Here is a 20,624-nt window from a genome sequence, read left to right on the forward strand (position 1 = left end):
GTCTGTATCAGTACAGCCCTTCTATTTGCCTTATGACTTGCATTTCATCATCAGTAGTTAAAGCAGAGGAAACGTGGGAACCGCTTGCTGTTTCTGTTTATGGCCTCATCAACGGTTGCATCTGTTTTTTTTTGTGGATTCTTGGCATCCACGTTCTTGTGGATCTTGCAACAAACACATTATGGTAGGTAGCAGCAGCACTATCAGTTTCAGACGCGTCCACACCAAAATGGAATAAAAAAGTAATCCAGTCAAAGAAAGGTTGAGATCCTGTATTCCTCAAATTCGGTGTCCAGTACAAATCAGCCCAATTTCCTTTGAGTACCTGCATTTTTAGAGCACACATCCCTTCCATTCTGTAATTCTTTTTTTTTCTTCCTGTATTGCAAGCTTCTCCGTTCTCTCCTTTGTGGGATATTTTCTTGGTAGGTAGGTAGGAAGGTAGGTAAAGTCCGCTTTGGTTGAGTTTATTTGGGTTTGTGTAGCGTTTGAAAAAAAATAAATTCAAACTCTAGGGGGAAGGGAGTAGAGCTTGACTGGCAGTATAAAATTAGACGGCTAACCAAAAGAGAATAGTGACTATACAAATACTGACTATCCAAACGAGAAAGAGACGACTTAAGGGGAAGTGCTGCCCTGCAAGAAATTCCGGGAATTGTCCAGAAGATCCACAGGGTCAGAGACACACGCGCCAAAAAGGCGCCTTTCATGCACGGTCCTCCGGGGAAAACAGAGAAATATATATAGGAGCTCTCTGCCTTTGGAAGCATTTCGGTTCCAGGAAGGGAGAGTTAAGGAATTCCTTTGGGACCGGCACATGTGAAATATGATCCAGGCTCTCCGCTTGGCACCCTGCACTTGCGTCCTAGGCAGGCAGAGAGTGGAGAGTTTTTCTAGGAATTCTGGGAAGTGTAGTTTGGGAGCCCCGTGTAGTCGGGTAACTTCCGCTCTAGGAGGCTGAGGCCGTCTCCCTGATCCCGTCGAGAATTCTGGGAAGCGTAGTCCAGGAGGTCTCCGTAGGGAGAGCCACTTCCGCCCAAGGTACGCTAGGCCGCGGCCTTCTTTTCTCCCAGAAAGGTGACCCTCCCCGCCCTGCGTCCTGCTCCTTCCGTCCATACTGATGTTTGTTTTGCTGGAGGCCAGTAGCAACTGGACAGTAGCTCTAGGGGAGGAGAATCCACCTGCGGCGAAGGGTGGGATTTGTTTTCTTTGAGCCTTCTCCAGTGTGGGGCAGCTGGCGCATCTCCACTTAGCGCCGGGGGTCCGGGATCCTACATCGCAGGGACTGGGGATCTCCTGGGTTCTGTACTCCCCCAGCCCTTTCCCCTGACCATCAGCCAGCTCTGCCATTTCCTAGCAGTATAATAAAAGGCGAGTATCTTAATCTCTCTGCCTATGTTTCTTTTTCTTTAAAATGGTACTAGTATCTATCTAATGGAGTTCTTTTGAGAGTTAAATAAAAAGGCTTGGAACAGAGCCTGACAGGTGGTAGAAGATGGGTCTCTTGTTATTAGCACGTTTTAATTTTCTGAGAAGGACTCAGTTCCCTGAAAGCTTCTGTGAGCCCAGGATGGGGTCAGAGCTCCAGCTGCAGAGTATCCCTGGCCCTTTTCTGATCACTGAGAGATTTTTCTTTAGGAGAGGATCACTCCGGGCTGTCTGGGCAGTCCACTGTAATTCATGCAGGAGTTCTGATTTCTCCCATCCTCCTTTCCTTCTTTAGCCTTGACTTCTTGAAAAAGGCTGCAGGGAGAAGGAGGGAATAACCCTTTGGCACTTGGCAGCGGAGTCTCACCTGAGTAGTACTTATCATCCTTTTTTCCCAGGGAGACAATATTTCCTTCATTCATTGGCAAATTCTGCTCGAAGATGCCCTGATATTTGTTCAATAAATGCAGAAACGGATGAGGGAGAACTTGGGCATGAGTAATAAAGATAGTATTTAAACATTGAGTGCTGATCATTCTTAGAGTTTGATATGAATTAACATATTTAATCCTCACAAGAGCCCTTTGAGGCTGGGTTGGGTGCCACCATTCCCATCTTAAAGAAAAGCAAAGAGACACACAGCATAGGTGGTTTACCTTTAGGTCACCCAGGTGGTAAGAGTCTGAGCTGAGATTTGAATTCAGATAGTTTCCATCGATTGCCTTAGTTCTTGATGTGTTTAGTGTCAGCTTCAGAAGACATGTTTGGATTTTTCTAGAGGACCGTAAAAGCGAGGTTAATGAGCTTTGAATTTTTTATTTTTTTTAGTTATCTGTAATTTAATTTTATTTGAAATATTTACATTCATATTCTGATTATATAAATGATTGCATATTGTAAAAGATTAAGAAAGTATAGAAAGAGTAAAAGAAACTAATTATGCTAACCACAAGATATAACAATAACAATATTAATTCAATGTTTTCCTCTTCCAGTAGACTTCTTTTTGGATTTTTACCCATGTTTAACCAAATAGGCTTCATAGCTTTTATTTTTCCCTTAAGTTTTTACTATGGAAATTTATAAGCATAGTCAAATGTAATATGACTAAAATAATTCTGTGGAAGCATCACCCAGCTTCAAACTTTGTTAACATTTGCCAGTCTCGGATCAACTCCATGCCCCTTTTTTTTGGTTTCAGTATTTTAAACCAAATCTCTAACATCGACTTAGTATAATATTGTTTGATTGATTGTCATAATTGTCAAACATTGATGATCATAAATTGCTTATATCCAAGACCGTGAAAGGGAAATGCCGGCAGCTACTCTAAGGTTTTCATTCGTTGCAGCTTACAGAATGGTCCTTATTGAGGACGCTAGGGGACGCAAGAGAGTTGTACCTTGGAGAAGAATGGTGCTGAATTTTGTGTTCCAGTATAGAGTTTGCCTTGCCTAAGTCTTATAGCTCTTTGTTTCTTATTTCTCTTTATCTAAGTCCATACACTGGAAGTTCTTCTATTTCTGGGACCATGTCATATTTTTCTCTATGTGTCCAGCACATCGTACAAAGTTGTTAAGTGTTTATGGTTAGAGTAGCTACTCAACAGACAGCTGGCATCAAGGATTTGCAGTGTAGAATTGGAATAGGTATCAAAATAGAATAGAAATAACCCCTGGATATATTCCTTAATCTCACTTAATATTGGTAGGTTATATAATCCACCAACTATTTCAGAGTATTGAAGAGTTGAAGAGCAATGATTGGTTATGTTTCGATAATCTAAAAAAAAATCCCTGGAAACAAATTGTTAGAAATGATAACAACATTTATAGACCATACCTTATAACTGAGATTGTGTTTCCAGGTTTTTAAAACAGGTTTTTAAAAAATGTTTCTACAGTAAAATTGACTATTTTGTTATTTTTGGTGTACAATTCTATTACAACACAGGCATAGTTTGTGTAACGACTACCGTAGTCAGAAAAAGAACATTTCCATCACCCCAAATGTCTTCCCTCATAATTACCCCTCACCATACCTGTAACCACTGGCAACTACCATAAGCACTAAAACTCTACAGCTTTGTCTTTTTGAGAATGTCATATAAATGGACCGACGCTATATGTAACATTTGAGACCGGATTCTTTTACTCAGCAAATTGGTCTTGACATTCACCCAAGTTGTTATACGTATCAATACTTCATTTCTGTTTACTTCTGGTTAACGGAAGTATCCACTTCATGGATATATCACAGTTCATCTATTCACTGGTTGATAGACTTTTTCCCCCACTTTTTGGCATTTATCAATAGAGCTGATATAAACATTCATGTATAGTTTTTTTGTGCTTATTTCTGTAGCATACGAAGCCAGGAGTATGTTTACTGGGTCATATGGGAAATGCATGTTTAACTTTATAAGAAACTGCCAAATTGTAGTATCTGTACCATTTTGCATTCTCACTAATGATGTAGAAAGTTCCAGTTTATTTACATCTTCATCAGCACTTAGTATTTTCCTTATTTTTTTATTTTAGCCATTCTAAGCATTGTGAGTTTAATTTACATTTCCCTAATGGCTAATGGTGTTCAGCAGATATTACTTTTTTGTTGTTGTTTCTTTGCCATCCTTATATCTTCTTTGCAGAAGTGTCTGTATGCATGCTTTGCCCAGTTTCACATTGGGTTATATTTTTCCTATTGTTGATTTTTGAGAGCTATTTATATATTCTGGATATAAGTCTTTTTTTAGATGTGTGATTTGCAAATATTTCTTCTCAGCCTGTAGCTTGTCTTTTCATTCTCTTAATAGTGTCTTTTGCAGAACAAAATTTCTAATTTTAATGACATCTGATTTATCGATGTTATCTTTTTTGGATTGTGCTTTTGATGTCATATCTAAGAAGTCTGCCTAGCCCCAGGTCATGAAGATTTTCTCTTGTTCTAGACGTTTTATGGTTTTACACTTAAATCTGTGATCCATTGTGAGTTAACTTCTTAATAATATGCGATGGTTAAGTTGGGGTTTATTTCTTTACATATGAATGACCAACCATCCCAACACCACTTGTTTGGGTTTATTTCTGTACTATGTTCTGCTAAATTGATCTATGTGTGTATCTCTTCACCAGTAGCAAGATGTCATATTTACTGTAGCTTGATAGTAAATCTTAGGATAGTTTGATTCCTCCAAATTTATTCTTTTTTTCCAAAATTGTTTTTAGCTATTCTGGTTCCTTTGCCTTTCCATATAAATGGAATGCATGCCTTTCCATGCATTTTAGAATCAGCTTATTTATATCTACCCAAAAATTCAGCTGGTATTTTCATTGACATTATGTTAAATCAGAAGATCTGTCTTTCTCACATTGAGTTTTCCAGTTCATTAATATAACAAGTCCCTTCATTTAAGTGTTCTTTAATTTCTTGCTTTAGTGTTTCATGATTTTCTGCATACAGATCTATACGTGTTTTGTTTAGACATATGCCCAAGTATAATCAGCCAACTGGTCTTCGACAAAGTAAACAAAAACATAAAGTGGGGAAAGGACACCCTTTTCAACACATGATGTTGGGATAATTGGCTAGCCACATGTAGGGGAATAAAACTGCATTCTCATCTCTCACCTTATACAAAAATCTACTCAAGATGGATTAAGAACTTAAACCTAATTTCTGAACTATAAAAATTCTAGAAGATAACACTGGATAAACCCTTCTAGACATTGGCAAAGGCAAGGATTTCATGACCAAGGACCCAAATGCAAATGCAATAAAAACAAAGATAAATATCTGGGACTTAATTAAACTAAAGAGCTTTTGCATGGCAAAGGGAACAGTCAGCAGAGTAAATACACAACCCACAGAGTGGGACCCCTGACCTTGACCCTGAACCCTAACCTTGACCCCTAACCCCTGACCCTAACCCTAACCCCTAACCCTAACCCTTAACCCTAACCCCTAACCCCTAACCACAACCCTCACCCTCACCCTAACCCAACCCTAACCCCTAATACCTAACCCCTAACATCTCTTAACCCCTAACTCTAAACGTTGACTCCTAACCCCTAACTCTGACCCCAACCGCTATCTCCAAACCCTAACCCTAAACTTAACCCCTAACCCTAACACCAACCTTAACCCTAGGTTCGTTGCTACGTTGGTATTGACTATGTCAATGTTGATTATTATGATCTCTGTCTTAGGACTGCACGGCAGCGAGGGGATTGCGGATCTTATATTAATATTTTTGTATTGAGGCAGTGCATTAGCATTACAGGTGCTTGTTACATGAGCAATGGAGGTGTCATATTTTGGGTGTCATGTCTGCATTAGGAATGCTGCATTTGTCTTCCGAGGCTGCGGTGTGGATCTCGCACTGCGGCCGCCTCGCCTTGGCTGGGGAGAACCTCGGTGGGCAGGATTCAGAGGGGATTTTGGTTTCCCGTTTTCCACATTGAACCCCTCTAACTGGTCTCTGACCCTGATTATTCAGGGCTGCAAACAGGAAGGATTCTATTCACCGTCGATGCGGCCCCGAGTTGTACCAAAGCGAGGCAGTGCCCCCAAGGTCTGTGCTGAGCAGAACGCAGCTCCGCCCTCGCGGTGCCCCCGGCCCGCCCGCCCGGGTCTGTGCTGAGAACACTGCTCCGCCTTCGCTGTATCTCCGAAGTCTGTGCAGAGGAGAACTCAGCTCCGCCCTCGCGATGCTCTCCGGGTCTGTGCTGAGGAGAACTCAGCTCAGCCTTCGCAAAGGCCCAGCGCCCGCGCAGGCGCAGGGGCAGGAAGGAGCCCAGCAGCGAGGCAGGTGGCACCACCAGGGGGGCCCTCAAGCCTGGCGCGCACGCATTCCAGACGACACCCAGACCATGCTCCGCCGCCTGGGCGCCCAAGCTGCAGTCGCCCTCTGTGTGCAGGCAGCAGCTGCCTGGCAACCCCCGAGCCCGCTCGCGCTCCCAGCATCGCAGAACCAGGGCCAGGTATCCCAGTGGCTGCGATCAAGCCAGTCATTCTGCCCGGCGGCGGCGGCTGCACAGGAGCCAGAACTGAGAACCCGCCGCTCAGCCCCACACGGGGTGACTGCCGAGTGCCCGTGCCAGCGGCCCAGATCTCCCTCAGGTGGAGGAGTGGGCGAGAGGCACGGCCTGGGGGCCCTCAGGCTGGGCGCGCTGGCGATCCCAAGGCCGACCAGGCCATGCACCTCCAGCCCGCCTGGGCACCTAAGCTGCAGCCGCCTTCTGTGTGCAGGCAGCAGCCTCCAGGCAACTCCCGAGCCCGCCCGCACTCCCCACATCTCGGAACCAGGGCCAGATGTCCCTGTGGCTGCGGCGAAGCCAGGCGGTCTGCCCTGCAGCAGCTGCACGGGGGCGGGAACCGGCCCTCAGCCCCATCCCCGGTGGCTGTAGAGGACCCCTAGCTAGAGGTCTCGAGCTCTGGCAGAGGAGGACCCGGGCGGGGGCAGGGTCTGGCGGGCTCTCAGGCCAGGGGCACTCGTGATCCAGAGGCCGCCCAGGCCATGCTCCACCACCTGGGCGCCCAGCTACAGGCGCCGGGCAACTTCCAAGCTGGCTGGCGCGCCCAGCCTCGCAGAACCAGGGCTAGATGTCGCCGTGACTGAGGCCAAGTCAGGCGGTCTGCCCGGAGGCGGCTGCACCAGGGCAGGAACCGACCCTCAGCCGCATCCCCGGTGGCTGCAGGCGGCCCCTGGAGCGGCCCCGATCTCTCTTCGGAGGAGAAGAGGGGCGGAGTCACGGCCAGGCGGGCCCTCAGGAGGGAAGGGATGAGCGCCTGCGATTCCGGGAAGTCCCGCGCCAGCCCAGGAGAACCCGCAAGCCCGCGGCGCCTGTTTCTCTGTGTGATTCTTTGAGGAACCACCAAACTGTTTTCCACAGCAAGTGCATCATTTTCTGTTCCTAGCAGCCAGTTCATGAGGGCTCCAATTTCTCCACCTCCTTAGCAACACTGATTTTCTGTATCGTTGTTATGAAAGCCTTACTAGTGGATGCAAAGTGGCATCTCATTTGGGTTTTGTCTTGCATTTTATTAATGAATAACGGTGTTTAGCATCTTTTCTTGTCCTTCTTAGACATTTGTGTATCTTTTTTGGAGAAATGTCTATTCAAGTCCTTTGCCTCTTTTTTAATTGGGATCTTAGAAATTCTGTTGAGTTGTGGGATATTAAGCTTTTATCAGATACACACTTTGATTTTAGCAGATACATATTTTCTCACATACTATGGGTTGTCTTTTCACTCCCTTGATAGTATCCTTTGATGCATAAAGGGTTTTTATTTTGATTGAATCTAATTTACATGTATTTTCTTTTGTTATCTGTGCTTTTCTGTCATATTTCAAAATACACTTAAAACTCAAAGGTCATAAAGGTTTACCGTGTGTTTTCTTCTAAGAGTTACATACTTTTAGTCCTTACATTTAAGTCTTTTATTAATTTAGAATTAATTTTTGTATATACTGCAAGGTAGGGGTCTAATTTCTCTCCTGTGCACTGACATCCAGCTGTTGAAGAGACTGTTCTTTCCTCCCTTGACTAGACTTGGCCACCTTGTTGAACAGTCATTGACCATATATGTGAGGACTAATTTGTAGGATCTCAAATCTGTTCTATTGTATTGGTCTAAAAGTCTGTTGGTCTTATGCCAGTACCACACTCTCTTGATGACTGTAGATTTGTAGTAGGCTGTGAAACTGAAAAATGTGAGTTTTCCAATGTTCTTTTTCAAGACTGTTTTGTCTGTCAGATCCTTTGAATTTTTGTATGATTTTAGAATGAGTTTCTTTGTTTCTGCAAAAATGCCTTTGGGATTTTGATGGTATTGCATTGAATCTGTAGATTACTTTAGATGGTATTGTCATCTTAACAATATTGTCTTACAACCCGTGAACACAGAATGTCTTTCCAGTTATTTCCACTCTCTTTAGTTTTTTTCAGCAAAGTTTTGTGTTCCACCATGGTTACATTTATGCCTGAATAACTTATTCTTTGATGCTATTATAAATGGAATTTTTAAAATGTTTTCATAGTTATTTACAACTAAATAGAAATATAGCTCATTTGCCTATGTTTGTTTTGCATCCTGCCTCTTTTATTAGTTATAAATGGTTTTGTGTTTTGTTTGGAGCTTTATACCCATAAGATCATGTGTAGATATAATTTTACACCTATTTTTTATTTCTAATGTAGATGCCTTTTATTTCTTTGTCTTGCCTAATTGCTCTGGCTAGAACTGCCAGTGCTACGTTGAATACAAGTGGCAAATGCACCATCCTTGTCTTGTTCTAGATGTTAGGAAAACAGCTTTCAGTGTTTCATCATTGATCATGATATTAACTGTTGGGTTTTTGTACATCCCATTGTCATGTTGCAGAAGATCCCTTCTATGCCTAGTTTATTGAGTATTTTTATTATAGCAGGGCGTTATATTTCATCAATGTTTTTTCTGCATCAATTGAAATAATAACATGCTTATTCATTTCAGTGTTACAGTATATTACACTGATTGATTTTTTATATGTTGAGCCACCCTTGCATTTTGGGGATAAATCTCAAAGGGTGATAGTTTACAATCCTTTGATTATGCAGTATTGCTGCTAGTATTTTGCTAGTATTGCTAGTATTGTGCTGAGATTTTTGCTTATATATTCATAAGGGATATTGTTCTGTAGTTCTCTCTTTTGTGCTCTCTTTGTCTTTGGTATAAGGATAATGCTGTTATCAAAAAATGAATTAGCAAGTATTCCTTCTTCATATATTTTGTCAGAAGAGTTTGAGAAGAAATGGTATTAATTCTTCTTTAAATGTTAGGTTGACTCAGCAGTTAATGCAGCCATTTGGTCATAAATGTTTCTTTGTTAATCGCTTTTGATTACTAATTCAATCTCCTAGGTTATAGATCTATTCAGATTTTCTCTTTCTTCTTGAGCCACTTTGGTAGTTTGTGTCTTTCTAGTGATTCATCCATTTCATCCAGGGCACCTAATTTGTTGTTAGACAGTTGTTCATAGTATACTCCTGTAATCCTTTTGTAGTTCTGTAAAGTTGGTTGTAATGGCTCTGCTTTCATTTATTATTTTAATAATTAGTCTTCCATCTTTTGCTCAGTCAATATAGTGAAAGGCTTGATCTTTCAAAGAATCTTTTTTGGGTCCAACAAATGTATACCTTCTGTGTATTGATTTATGTATTCCCCTGTAATTTCTCCCTCTCTAAAATGGAAAATCAACTGTAATTCAGCTGCTTTGCATGCAGTTTCTCAGGACTCCTTAAACCTGTGATTCACTGGGCCACAGTCATTCATATAAGCTCAAAATAAGCCTTTTTAAAATCCCTCAAAGAGTTTGGTTTTTCTTCTAAAATTTTGTAATGTAAATTATATGTAAATCATGGTAGTTGGCATTTTTCCACGCATCAGTAAGTTGTCTCACAGTGACCAAATGCAACTTGCAGAAAACAATTGGATATTATCTTCAAAATAATAGCAATTTCACTTCAGATGTTCTTTATCCAACATAGATTTAATACCTAAGAGATAACCTATAACATAAAGATTCATTAATTATGTCATCGTCTCCACCATTATCCATGATGATCACATACTTTGGAACTTATTCTATGGAGAATAGCCTAAAGTGAATTCATAATAATGATACATTGTTATGCATTATCTATCTTCTTCTTCTTCTTTTTTTTTTTTTTTTTTGAGACACAGTCTTGCTCTTGTTGCCCAGGCTGGAGTGCAATGGTGTGATCTCAGTTCACTGCAACCTCTGCCTCTGGTGTTCAAGTGATTCTCCTGCCTCAGCCTTTCAAGTAGCTGGGATTGCAGGTGCACACCACCATACCTGGCTAATTTTTATATTTTTAGTAGAGACGTGGTTTTGCCATGTTGGCCAGGCTGGTCTCAAATGCATTATGTGTCTTCTGAGAGTGGTCAGGGGATTCACTCTAGCTTAATTGTCACTTCTTACAGGGAGTGCTGAGGTTTGTATTAAGATTTTACATTTTGAATGTATTTATTAGGACCTGATTACACTCTCTTACGCTCTGACCAAACAATATGAATTCTATAATTTTTAATTCTATATCACTTCTCCAGGTACATATCATATTTTCCAAGACCCATGATTATTTTCATGGTGGAGCTACAAGATTCAGCAAATAGTCATATAGAATATACTTAAGTTCAAGATTCTGAAAAAAATAATACTTTTCTATTATGATATCTGCATACTTGCATGCAATATGTATATGCAATACTTTATAAATACACTAACTTTTATCTATTATTTATCTGAAGTTCAAATTTAACTGTGTCTTTTGTTATCTCTCAACTCCAATGCATGGGAACCTTGGTGTTCTTCTGTCCAAGCTTAGCTCCAACTACCTCCGGAGACCCATTGGAGAAAGACACCAGTTTTTGAGCCAACTACTACAATTCTTATAATGTAGATACCATTGTGTCTTAAAGTCAGTTTTTTTCTTATTATTCTTGTGTCCAAAATGACAGTAAAACACAAACAATATGACTGTGCTGATACGTGTTGGTGGCACCTATTAATTTTTTGGTTCTGGCACTGAAGATAAATATGTGTATTTATGAGATTAATCTTTTAGCTCGAGAATAACAACCACTTAATAAAATATACAATTTTGCTTTTATAAACTCAAATTTAGATTAAATTTTTTTTCAAGATGATGGATTAGAGACTTTAAGCATGCTTCAGCCACATGGACATAGCACAATAGTGCATAAATGTCAACTCTCTGAGCTTTAATTTAAGAAGAAGAAAAGGAATCCACCAGAATCTTGAAGGACACACCAGATTCCGGGAAGGAGAATGGAGGCAAACTGCCCCCATGATGGCATCCAGCTAATAAAAGTGAGTGAAGTACCAGTAAGTGAAATGTATTTTAAATATATTCTAAATATATATGCAATATATGTCTATTCTAAATATATATGCAGCCAACATTGGAACACACAGATTGGAACACACCCCAATGACAGTGTTAGACAGATCATTGAGGCAGAAAACTAATAAAGAAATTCTTTGGGAGGCCGAGGCGGGCGGATCACGAGGTCAGGAGATCGAGACCATCCTGGCTAACACGGTGAAACCCCGTCTCACTAAAAATACAAAAAATTAGCCGGGCGTGGTAGCGGGCGCCTGTAGTCCCAGCTACTCGGGAGGCTGAGGCAGGAGAATGGCGTGAACCTGGGAGGCGGAGCTTGCAGTGAGCCGAGATCGCGCCACTGCACTCCAGCCTGGGCGACAGAGCGAGACTCCGTCTCAAAAAAAAAAAAAAAAAGAAATTCTGCATTTAAATTCAATGCTTGACCATTTGGAATTACAATACACTTCATTCATCAACCACAGAACATACACTGTAGTATCATCTGCGTGCAGATGAGTATACTGCTCAAAGCGATTTACAGATTCAATGCTTTTCCTATCAAACTACTAATGTCATTTTGCACAAAATAGAAAACATCTAAAATTTATATGGAACCTAAAAGGAGTCTGAATAGCCAAGCCAAAGCAATACTAAGGCTAGAGACATAGGCTAGAGACATCATATTACATGACTTCAAACTATCCTAGAAGACTATAGTAATCAAAACAACATGGTACTGGTAGAAAAACAGACACATAGACCAATGGAACAGACTAGAGTACTAGAAACTAAGGCCACATGCCTGCAACCATCACATCTTTAACAAAGTTGACAAAAGTAAGCAATGGGAAAAAGACTTTTATTTAATAAATAATGCAGGGATAACTGGCTAGTCATATGCAGAAGAATAAAACTAGACCCCCATATTTCACCAAATACAAAAATTAACTTAAGATGGATTAAAGAGTTAAATGTAAAATCTCAAGCTATAAGACGCCTAGAAAAATCCTAGGAAATACTTTTCTTGTTTTTTTATTTTATTTTATTATTATTATACTTTAAGTTTTAGAGTACATGTGCACAATGTGCAGGTTAGTTACATATGTATATACGTGCCATGCTGGTGTGCTGCACCCATTAACTCATCATTTAGCATTAGGTATATCTCCTAAAGCTATCCCTCTCCCCTCCCCTGACCCCATAACAGTCCCCAGAGTGTGATGTTCCCCTTCCTGTGTCCATGTGTTCTCATTGTTCAATTCCCACCTATGAGTGAGAATATGTGGTGTTTGGTTTTTTGTTCTTGCGATAGTTTACTGAGAATGATGATTTCCAATTTCATCCACGTCCCTACAAAGGACATGAACTCATCATTTTTTATGGCTGCATAGTATTCCATGGTGTATATGTGCCACATTTTCTTAATCCAGTCTATCATTGTTGGATATTTGGGTTGGTTCCACGTCTTTGCTATTGTGGATAGTGCTGCAGTAAACATACGTGTGCATGTGTCTTTATAGCAGCATGATTTATAGTCCTTTGGGTATATACCCAGTAATGGGATGGCTGGGTCAAATGGTATTTCTAGTTCTAGATCCCTGAGGAATCGCCACACTGACTTCCACAATGGTTGAACTAGTTTACAGTCCCACCAACAGTGTAAAAGTGTTCCTATTTCTCCATATGGCAAATAATTTATGGCTAAGTCCTCAAAAGCAATTGCAACTAAAACAAAAATTGACAAGTGGTAGTTAATTAAACTGAGAAACTTTTGCACAACAAGAGAAACTATCAAGGTAGTAAAGAGATAACCCACAGTATGAAAGAAAATATTCACAAACTACGCATCTAACAGAGGTCTATTATTCAGAACCTATAAGGAACTCAAACAAATCAACAAGCAGCAGCAAGTAACTCCATTAAAAAGTGGGCAACAGGACATGAACAGACACTTCTCAAAAGAAGACATACACACAAGCACCCAACAAACATATGTAAAAGTGCTCATCATCATTATTTATTAGAGAAATGCAAATCAAAACCGAAATGAAATACCATTTCACACCAGTCAGAATGGCTTTTTTTGAAAAGTCAAAAGAAAAACACATATTGGTGAAGATTTAGAGAATAGAGAACACTTACACACTTTCTGAAGGAATGTAAATTAGTTCAGCCACTGTGGAAAGCAGATTGGGGATTTCTTAAAGAACTGAGAGTTGAACTACCATTCAACCCAGTAACCCCATTACTGGGTATATACCTGAAAGAAAATAAATATCCTACCAAAAAGACACATGTAGCCATATTTTTAGCACAGCAGTATTCACAATCACAAAGACATAGACTTAACCCAGGCGTCCATCAGTTGTGGTCTGGATAAAGACTCATGGAATACTATACAGCCAGAAAAAACTCAAAATTATGCCATTTGAAGCAACATGGATGCATTGTTTCCAGCAAACTAATGCAAAAGCAATAAACAAAATACCGCATGTTCTCTTTCATAAGTGGGAGCTAAAAGCTGGGTACACATGGTCATAATACAGAGGGGTGGGAGGGGCTGGGACTGGTGGCTCACGCCTATAATCCCAACACTTTGAGAGGCCAAGGTGAGCGGATCACCCGAGGTCAGGAGTTTGAGACCAGCCTGGCCAACACGGTGAAACCCCGCCTCTAATGAAAACACAAAAATTAACTGGGCATGGTGGCTGGCGCCTGTAATCCCAGCTACTCCGGGGTCTGAGGCGGAGAGTCGCTTGAACCCGGGGGGCGGAGGTTGTAGTGAGCCAAGATCGCGCCACATCACTCCAGCCTGGGCGACAGAGCAAAACTCTGTCTCAAAAACAAACAAACAAACAAACAAAAAACAAAGAGGGAGGGGGGAGGGAATACATATTGATTAAAACTACCGATTGGTTAGTGTCCTCTCTACCTTGGTAATAAATTCATTCATTTAATTCATAATTCATTCATTCAATTCATAATTCAGTTCCCCCTGAGAAAAAAATATTCACTTGTCATTAAAATCTCTCTGTATCTTACTGATTTCAGATAGAAGTTAAATTTCACCTTAATAATAGAAATAAAAGAACTAGTTAAACTGACAAAAACTAATAAACGTTTGCTCAAATTTACTGAGAGAGTCATGGGTACTTCATATAATAGTAACATTCTACCAGTTTTAAGTAAAATAAATAAGGAAACAATCTTAACTCCATCGCCTACCGGAAGGGACGTGCCCCCGCTCCCAGGTGAGTGGGACCCTGCTCTCTGGGCGGTTTGCGCCGCGGTCTCTGGCACCTCTTGTTGGCAGCGTCGCCGTTGCAGGCACAGGGCAGGCATTGGGGGGCGGGCAGCGGGCCAGGCCCAGGTGACTCCTTTGCCAGGGGCTGGGCAGGAGGGGAGAGGGGCGGAGCGGTGCTGCCCTGGGCGAGGGAGCCTCCCGCTCTGGATGGTTCGCTGCCCCTGCCCCAGGAAGGCACTGCAGGATCTGGGTGGGGAAGGGGAGGGACGAGGGAACACAGGCCAGGGCAGGTTGCCCCTTAGACCTGGGTGATGCAGGAGGGGCTGTGGGAGACCAGAGAGGACCCGAAGCAGAAACCGGGAACTGATACCTCTGGCTGAATATTTGTCCTCTTGCTGAAGTTTGAAAGTCAGTTATTTCATTAAAGTTTAATTTTATTATAAAAATAACAACTATTAAAAATTCCCTGTAGTCACTGGAATGATAAATTTTGGTGCAGTTTCAGCATAACACTCTAATTATTCAAATTGTGGCCATGTTTCAAAATATATGCCATACCACCCTGTGTCCCTGTGTCCCGCATCCGCCTCTGTGTCCCTGCTGGCTCAGGAAACGAGCTTCTTCCTCCTTCCACAGACTCGAATCAGGCCGTCCTCCCTCCTGCGCCTGAGGCTGTCACGGGGACAGCCTGCCTTCGAATAGCCGGAGAACGCCCGGCCTGTGCCCTGTGCTCGGCCTGGTGTCCTGGCTCGTGCCCCTCAGAGCCCCGCACAAAGCAGTGTGACAGGTGTGGAAGGACCCAGCACCAGGCAGCGGTGAGCGGATGGATGCTCCAGGGATGTGGGGCTGCTGGCAGTCAAGAACCCATTGCCAAATTCCATGGCATAATTTTGGATATTTTTCCCTTATATTTTTGTGTAAGGCTTTCAGACTTACACATTTTGAGTTTTAAAAAAAAATAGTATAAACTACAATTCTGACTTCTGTATTTTACATGTTGATAGCAAGTCTTCATACCGTTTTTTGTTAAAGGGGGCTATTCCCTCTCCATAGTTTGGCCTTTGCACCCTTGTTGAAGATCATTTTGACCATATATACAAGGTTTTGTGGAGAGAGGGGTCTCTATTATTTTCTATGTCTACACGTCTTGATTTAATACATTTCTTTTTAGATTTTCTCCTTTTTACTTTTTGAGACAGGTTCTCTGTCATCTAGGCTGGGGTGCACTGGTGCGACCATGGCTCACTGCAGCCTTGCTCTCCCAGGCTTAAAAAATCCTCTCACTTCAGCCTCTGGAATAGCTGAGACTACAGGTTCACGTCACATTGCCAGGTTAATTTTAATTTTAATTTTTTTTTTAGCGATGGATGTTCTCACTAGGATGTCCAGTGTGGTTTGAACTCCTGGGTTCAAGCAATCCTCCTACCTCAGCCTCACAAAGTGCTGAGGTTACACATGTAAGCCATAGAACCTGGCCTCAAAATACCACATTTGAAAAGAGTTCAACAGCACTGCAATTAGTTTTTGATTTAAAAATTGTGAGGGCTCCACAATTGACATTATTTTACAAGTTTAATTGGCTATTTTCAATCTTGAGATTTCATATGTTTTAGAATTTTGTATTTCTGCAAGTAAATATTGTTATGATTTATATAGCTATTGCATTTAATCTGTTGTTGATTTCATTAGTATAGACTTAAGAATATTGTTTTCTAATTTATGAATATGGGATATCTTTTCAATTGTCTAATCTATAAATATAGAATATCTTCCCCATTGTTTGTGACTTTTCTTCAGCAACATCTTGTAACTTCTAGTATACTAGTCTTACATCTCTTTGCTTGTTTATTCCAAAGTATATTCTTCTTAATGCTATTTTCAATGGAATTTTAAAAACTTGGATTGTACCGTGTAATGAAGAGAAATACACTTAATTTTGTATTCTGCAATTTTGCTAAATGCAACTATTAGTTCTAACAGGTATTGTTTTCAGCGTATAGGATTTTTTTGTATATAACATCATATCATAAGTAACAGGTACTTTTACTTCTTCCTTTAGAATGTGGATCTTTTCTTTTTTTCATTGCCTAGTTGTTTTGCCAGGACTTTCACTGCTATTTTTGAATAGATGTGGCAACAGTGAATATCTTGCCTTATTATTAATCTTAGAGGATAAACTTTCCACAGTTCAGAATTCAGTATAATATTAGTGATGATTGTTTTCGTTTTTTTGTTTTTGTTGTTGTTTTCGCTTTTCTGAGATAGGATCTTGCTCTGTCAACCAGGCTGGAGTGCAGTGGCATGATCTGGGCTCACTGCAACCTCCACCTCCCGAGTTCAAGCTATTCTCCTGCCTCAGCATCCCTGGTAGCTGGGACTACAGGCACACACCACAACGTCAAGCTAATGTTAATATTTTTTGTAGAGACAGGGATTCACCATGTTGGTCAGGCTGGTCTGGAACTCCTGACCTAAAATCATCCACCCACCTCAGCTACCCAAACTGCTGGGACTATAGGCATGAGCTGTTGAACCCAGTTGGTGATGAGTTATTTACATATCTTTTGCTATGTTAGTTTCCTTTTATTTCTAGTTTATTGAGTGTTTTTTTTATCTTGAAAAGATGATTAATACTGTCAGTTGACTTTTCTGCATTATTTGAGATGATTGTGTGGTTTATATCTTTTACTCTGTTAATATGATATATTAAATTGATTGATTTAAACTCTCATTCCAATATAGCCAAATAGGAAGAGCTCTGGTCTGCAGCTCCCAGTGTGATCAATGCAAGATGGGTGATTTCTGCATTTCCAACTGAGCTACCTGATTCATCTCATTGGGACTGATTGGACAGTGAGTTCATCCCACGGAGGGTGAGCTGAAGCAGGGCAGGGCATCAACTCACCCAGGAAGTGCAAGGGGTTGGGGGATTTTCCTTTCCTAGCCAAAGGAAGGCATGACAGACTGTACCTGGAAAAACAGGACACTCTTGCCCAAATGGACATAAATGACCTGATGGAGCTGAAAAAACACAGCTCGAGAACTTCATGAAGCATACACAAGTCTCAATAGCCAAAGTGACCAAGCGGAAGAAAGGATATCAGAGTTTGAAGACCACCTTGCTGAAATAAAGCATGCAGACAAGATTAGAGAAAAAAGAATGAAAAAGAATGAACAAAGCCTCCAAGAAATATGGGACTATGTAAAAAGACCGAACCTACTATTGATTGGAGTACCTGAAGGAGATCGAGCAAATGGAAATGAGCTGGAAAACACTCTTCAGGCTGGGACTACACAGCCAAGGTTTTATATACAGGAGAACTTCCCCAACCTAGCAAGACAGGCCAACATGCAAATTCAGGAAATACAGAGAACACCACTAAGATACTCCTCGAGAAGATCACCCCCAAGACACATAATCATCAGATTCTCCAAGGTCAAAATAAAGAAAAAAATATTAAGGGCAGCCAGAGAGAAAGGTCAGGTTACCTACAATAGTTTCATCAGACTAACAGCAGATCTCTCTGCAGAAACCCTACAAGCCAGAAGAGAGTGGGGGCCAATATTCAACATTTTTAAAGAACATAATTTTTAACCCAGAATTTCATATCCAGCCAAACTAACCTTCATAAGCAAAGGAGAAATAAAATCCTTTCCAGACAAGCAAATGCTGAGGGATTTCGTCATCACTAGGCCTGCCTTACAAGAGCTCCTGAAGGAAGCACTAAATATGGAAAGTCAAAACCAGTACCAGCCACTGCAAAAACACACCAAAATACAGAAACCAATGACACTATGAAGAAATTGCATCAATTAGCATGCAAAATAACCAGATAGCATCATGATGACAGGATCTAATCCACACATAACAATACTAACCTTAAATGTAAATGGACTAAATGCCCCAATTGAAAGACACAGCCTGGCAAATTGGATAGAGTCAAGACCCAGTGGTGTGCTGTATTTGGGAGATGCAGCTCACATGCAAAGACACACATAGGCTCAAAATAAAGGGATGGAGGAAAATTTACCAAGCAAATGGAAAGAAAAAAAAAAGGCATGGGCTGCTATCCTAGTCTCTGACAAAACAGACTTCAAACCAACAAAGATCCAAAAAGACAAAGAAGGGCATTACATAATGGTAAGGGGATCAATTCAACAAGAAGAGCTAACTATCTTAAATATATATGCATCCAATACAGGAGTACCCAGATTCATAAGACAAGTTTTTAGAGACCTACAAAGAGACTTAGACTCCCACACAATAATAGTGGGAGACTTTAACACCCAACTGTCAACGTTAGATGAACGAGACAGAAAATTAACAAGGATATTCGGGACTTGAACACAGTTCTGGATCAAGCAGACCTAATAGACATCTACAGAACTCTTCACCCCAAATCAACAGAATATACATTCTTTTCAGTGTCACATGGCACTTATTCTAAAATTGACCACATAATTGGAAGTAAAACACTCCTCAGCAAATGCAAAAGAACAAATCATAACAAACAGTCTCTCAGATCACAGTGCAATCGAATTAGAACCCAGAATTAAGAAGCTCCCTCAAAACCACACAACTACATGGAAAATGAACAGCCTGCTCCTGAATGACTCCTGGGTAAATAATGAAATTAAGGCAGAAATCAAGAAGTTCTGTGGCCAAAAACATATGAAAAAAGCTCAATGTCACTCATCATTAAAGAAATGCAAATCAAAACCACAATGAGATGCCATCTCACACCAGTCAGAATGGCGATTATTAAAAAGTCAAGAAACAATAGATGCTGGTGAGGTTGTGGAGAAATTGGAATGCTTTTGTACTATACGTGGGAGTGAAAATTAGTTCAACCATTGTGGAAGGCAGTGTGGCAATTCCTCAAGGATCTAGAACCAGAAATACCATTTGACCCAGCAACCCCATTACTGGGTATATACCCAAAGGATTATATATCATTCTAGTATAAAGACACATGCACACATATGCTTATTGCAGCACTATTTACAACAGCAAAGACTTAGAACCAACCCAAATGCCCATCAATGATAGATTGGATAATGCAAGTGTGGTACATATGCACCATGGAATACTATGCAGCCATGAAAAGGAATGAAATCATGTCCTTTGCACAGACATGGATGAAGCTGGAAGCCATCATCCTCAGCAAACTAACACAGGAACAGAAAACCAAACATCGTATGTTCTCACTCATAAGTGGAAGTTGAACAATGCGAACACATGGACACAGGGAGGGGAACAAAACACTGGGGTCTGTCTGGGGTCGGGGGAGAGGTGAGGGAGAGCATCAGGACAAATACCTAACGCACGCAGGGCTTAAAACCTAGATGATGGGTTGATAGGTGCAGCAAACCACCATGGCACATGTATACTTAGGTAACAAACCTGCACATTCTGCTCATGTATCCCAGAACTTAAAGTAAAATTAAAAAACAGCCACAAAAAAGAAAGTCAAGCTCCTGAGTGGAAGAAGGAAAGCACTTACATCCTCAATACATATCTGGATGGTGGAGTCAAACTTGGGACTTTCCTTTACTCCCACCACCTCCAACTGCTGCCAGTGTTACTGTGTATCAGGAAGTAAACTTCACAGGCAGCCTCTGAGGCAGGAACTCTCACTAGCTGTTCTCCAGGTAAGGAAACTGGTGCCCAATTTGTTAAGTACCTTCCTTGAAGACACCTGGCTCGTATGTGAGGGAGTTGAGACTTGAACCTAGGCAGTCTGCAGGACGGAGCACAGAGCTGAGTATCAAAGGATAAATGGATGGGGTTGGTGTGAGGGGAGAATAGGGTCTATTGAAAAGGAGCCACGATTTCTTCCTCAGTAGCTGGCACTGGTTGTTCTAGCAACACCAGCCATTCTCCCCACCCACACCCCTGCTGAAAGGCTGAGTTTCACTTCCAGTCCCTATGGGTGAATCCAGGGAGTCATATGTGAATCTGGTAGTCTCACCCCCACTCACAGTTGACTGGATTAAAGTCGAGTATTTAACACAAAGGGAGTGAATCAGAACTCT

General features: G+C 41.2%; 2 long non-coding RNA genes across 2 annotated transcripts, besides 1 other annotated feature; both read left to right on the forward strand.

Annotated features, from left to right (window-relative positions):
- Nucleotides 1-998: 998 nt before the first annotated feature.
- On the forward strand, nt 999-1,953 carry LOC124907892 (uncharacterized). The gene is made up of 2 exons (XR_007087241.1): nt 999-1,041; nt 1,724-1,953. It is a non-coding gene; the product is annotated as an uncharacterized LOC124907892 (long non-coding RNA).
- A 4,239-nt stretch (nt 1,954-6,192) lies between these two features.
- FAM201B (family with sequence similarity 201 member B) lies at nt 6,193-7,809 on the forward strand. The gene has a single exon (NR_135203.1). It is a non-coding gene; the product is annotated as a family with sequence similarity 201 member B (long non-coding RNA).
- Nucleotides 15,003-15,823: an enhancer, noted in NCBI's record as "H3K27ac-H3K4me1 hESC enhancer chr2:133119050-133119870 (GRCh37/hg19 assembly coordinates)". NCBI's record gives its function as "activates a minimal SCP1, AML or CMV promoter by ChIP-STARR-seq in primed H9 embryonic stem cells {active_cell/tissue: H9 hESC(primed)}" and the evidence as "EXISTENCE:reporter gene assay evidence [ECO:0000049][PMID:30033119]".

Source organism: Homo sapiens, chromosome 2 (genome assembly GCF_000001405.40).
Source record: "Homo sapiens chromosome 2, GRCh38.p14 Primary Assembly".
Classification (NCBI taxonomy): domain Eukaryota; kingdom Metazoa; phylum Chordata; class Mammalia; order Primates; family Hominidae; genus Homo; species Homo sapiens.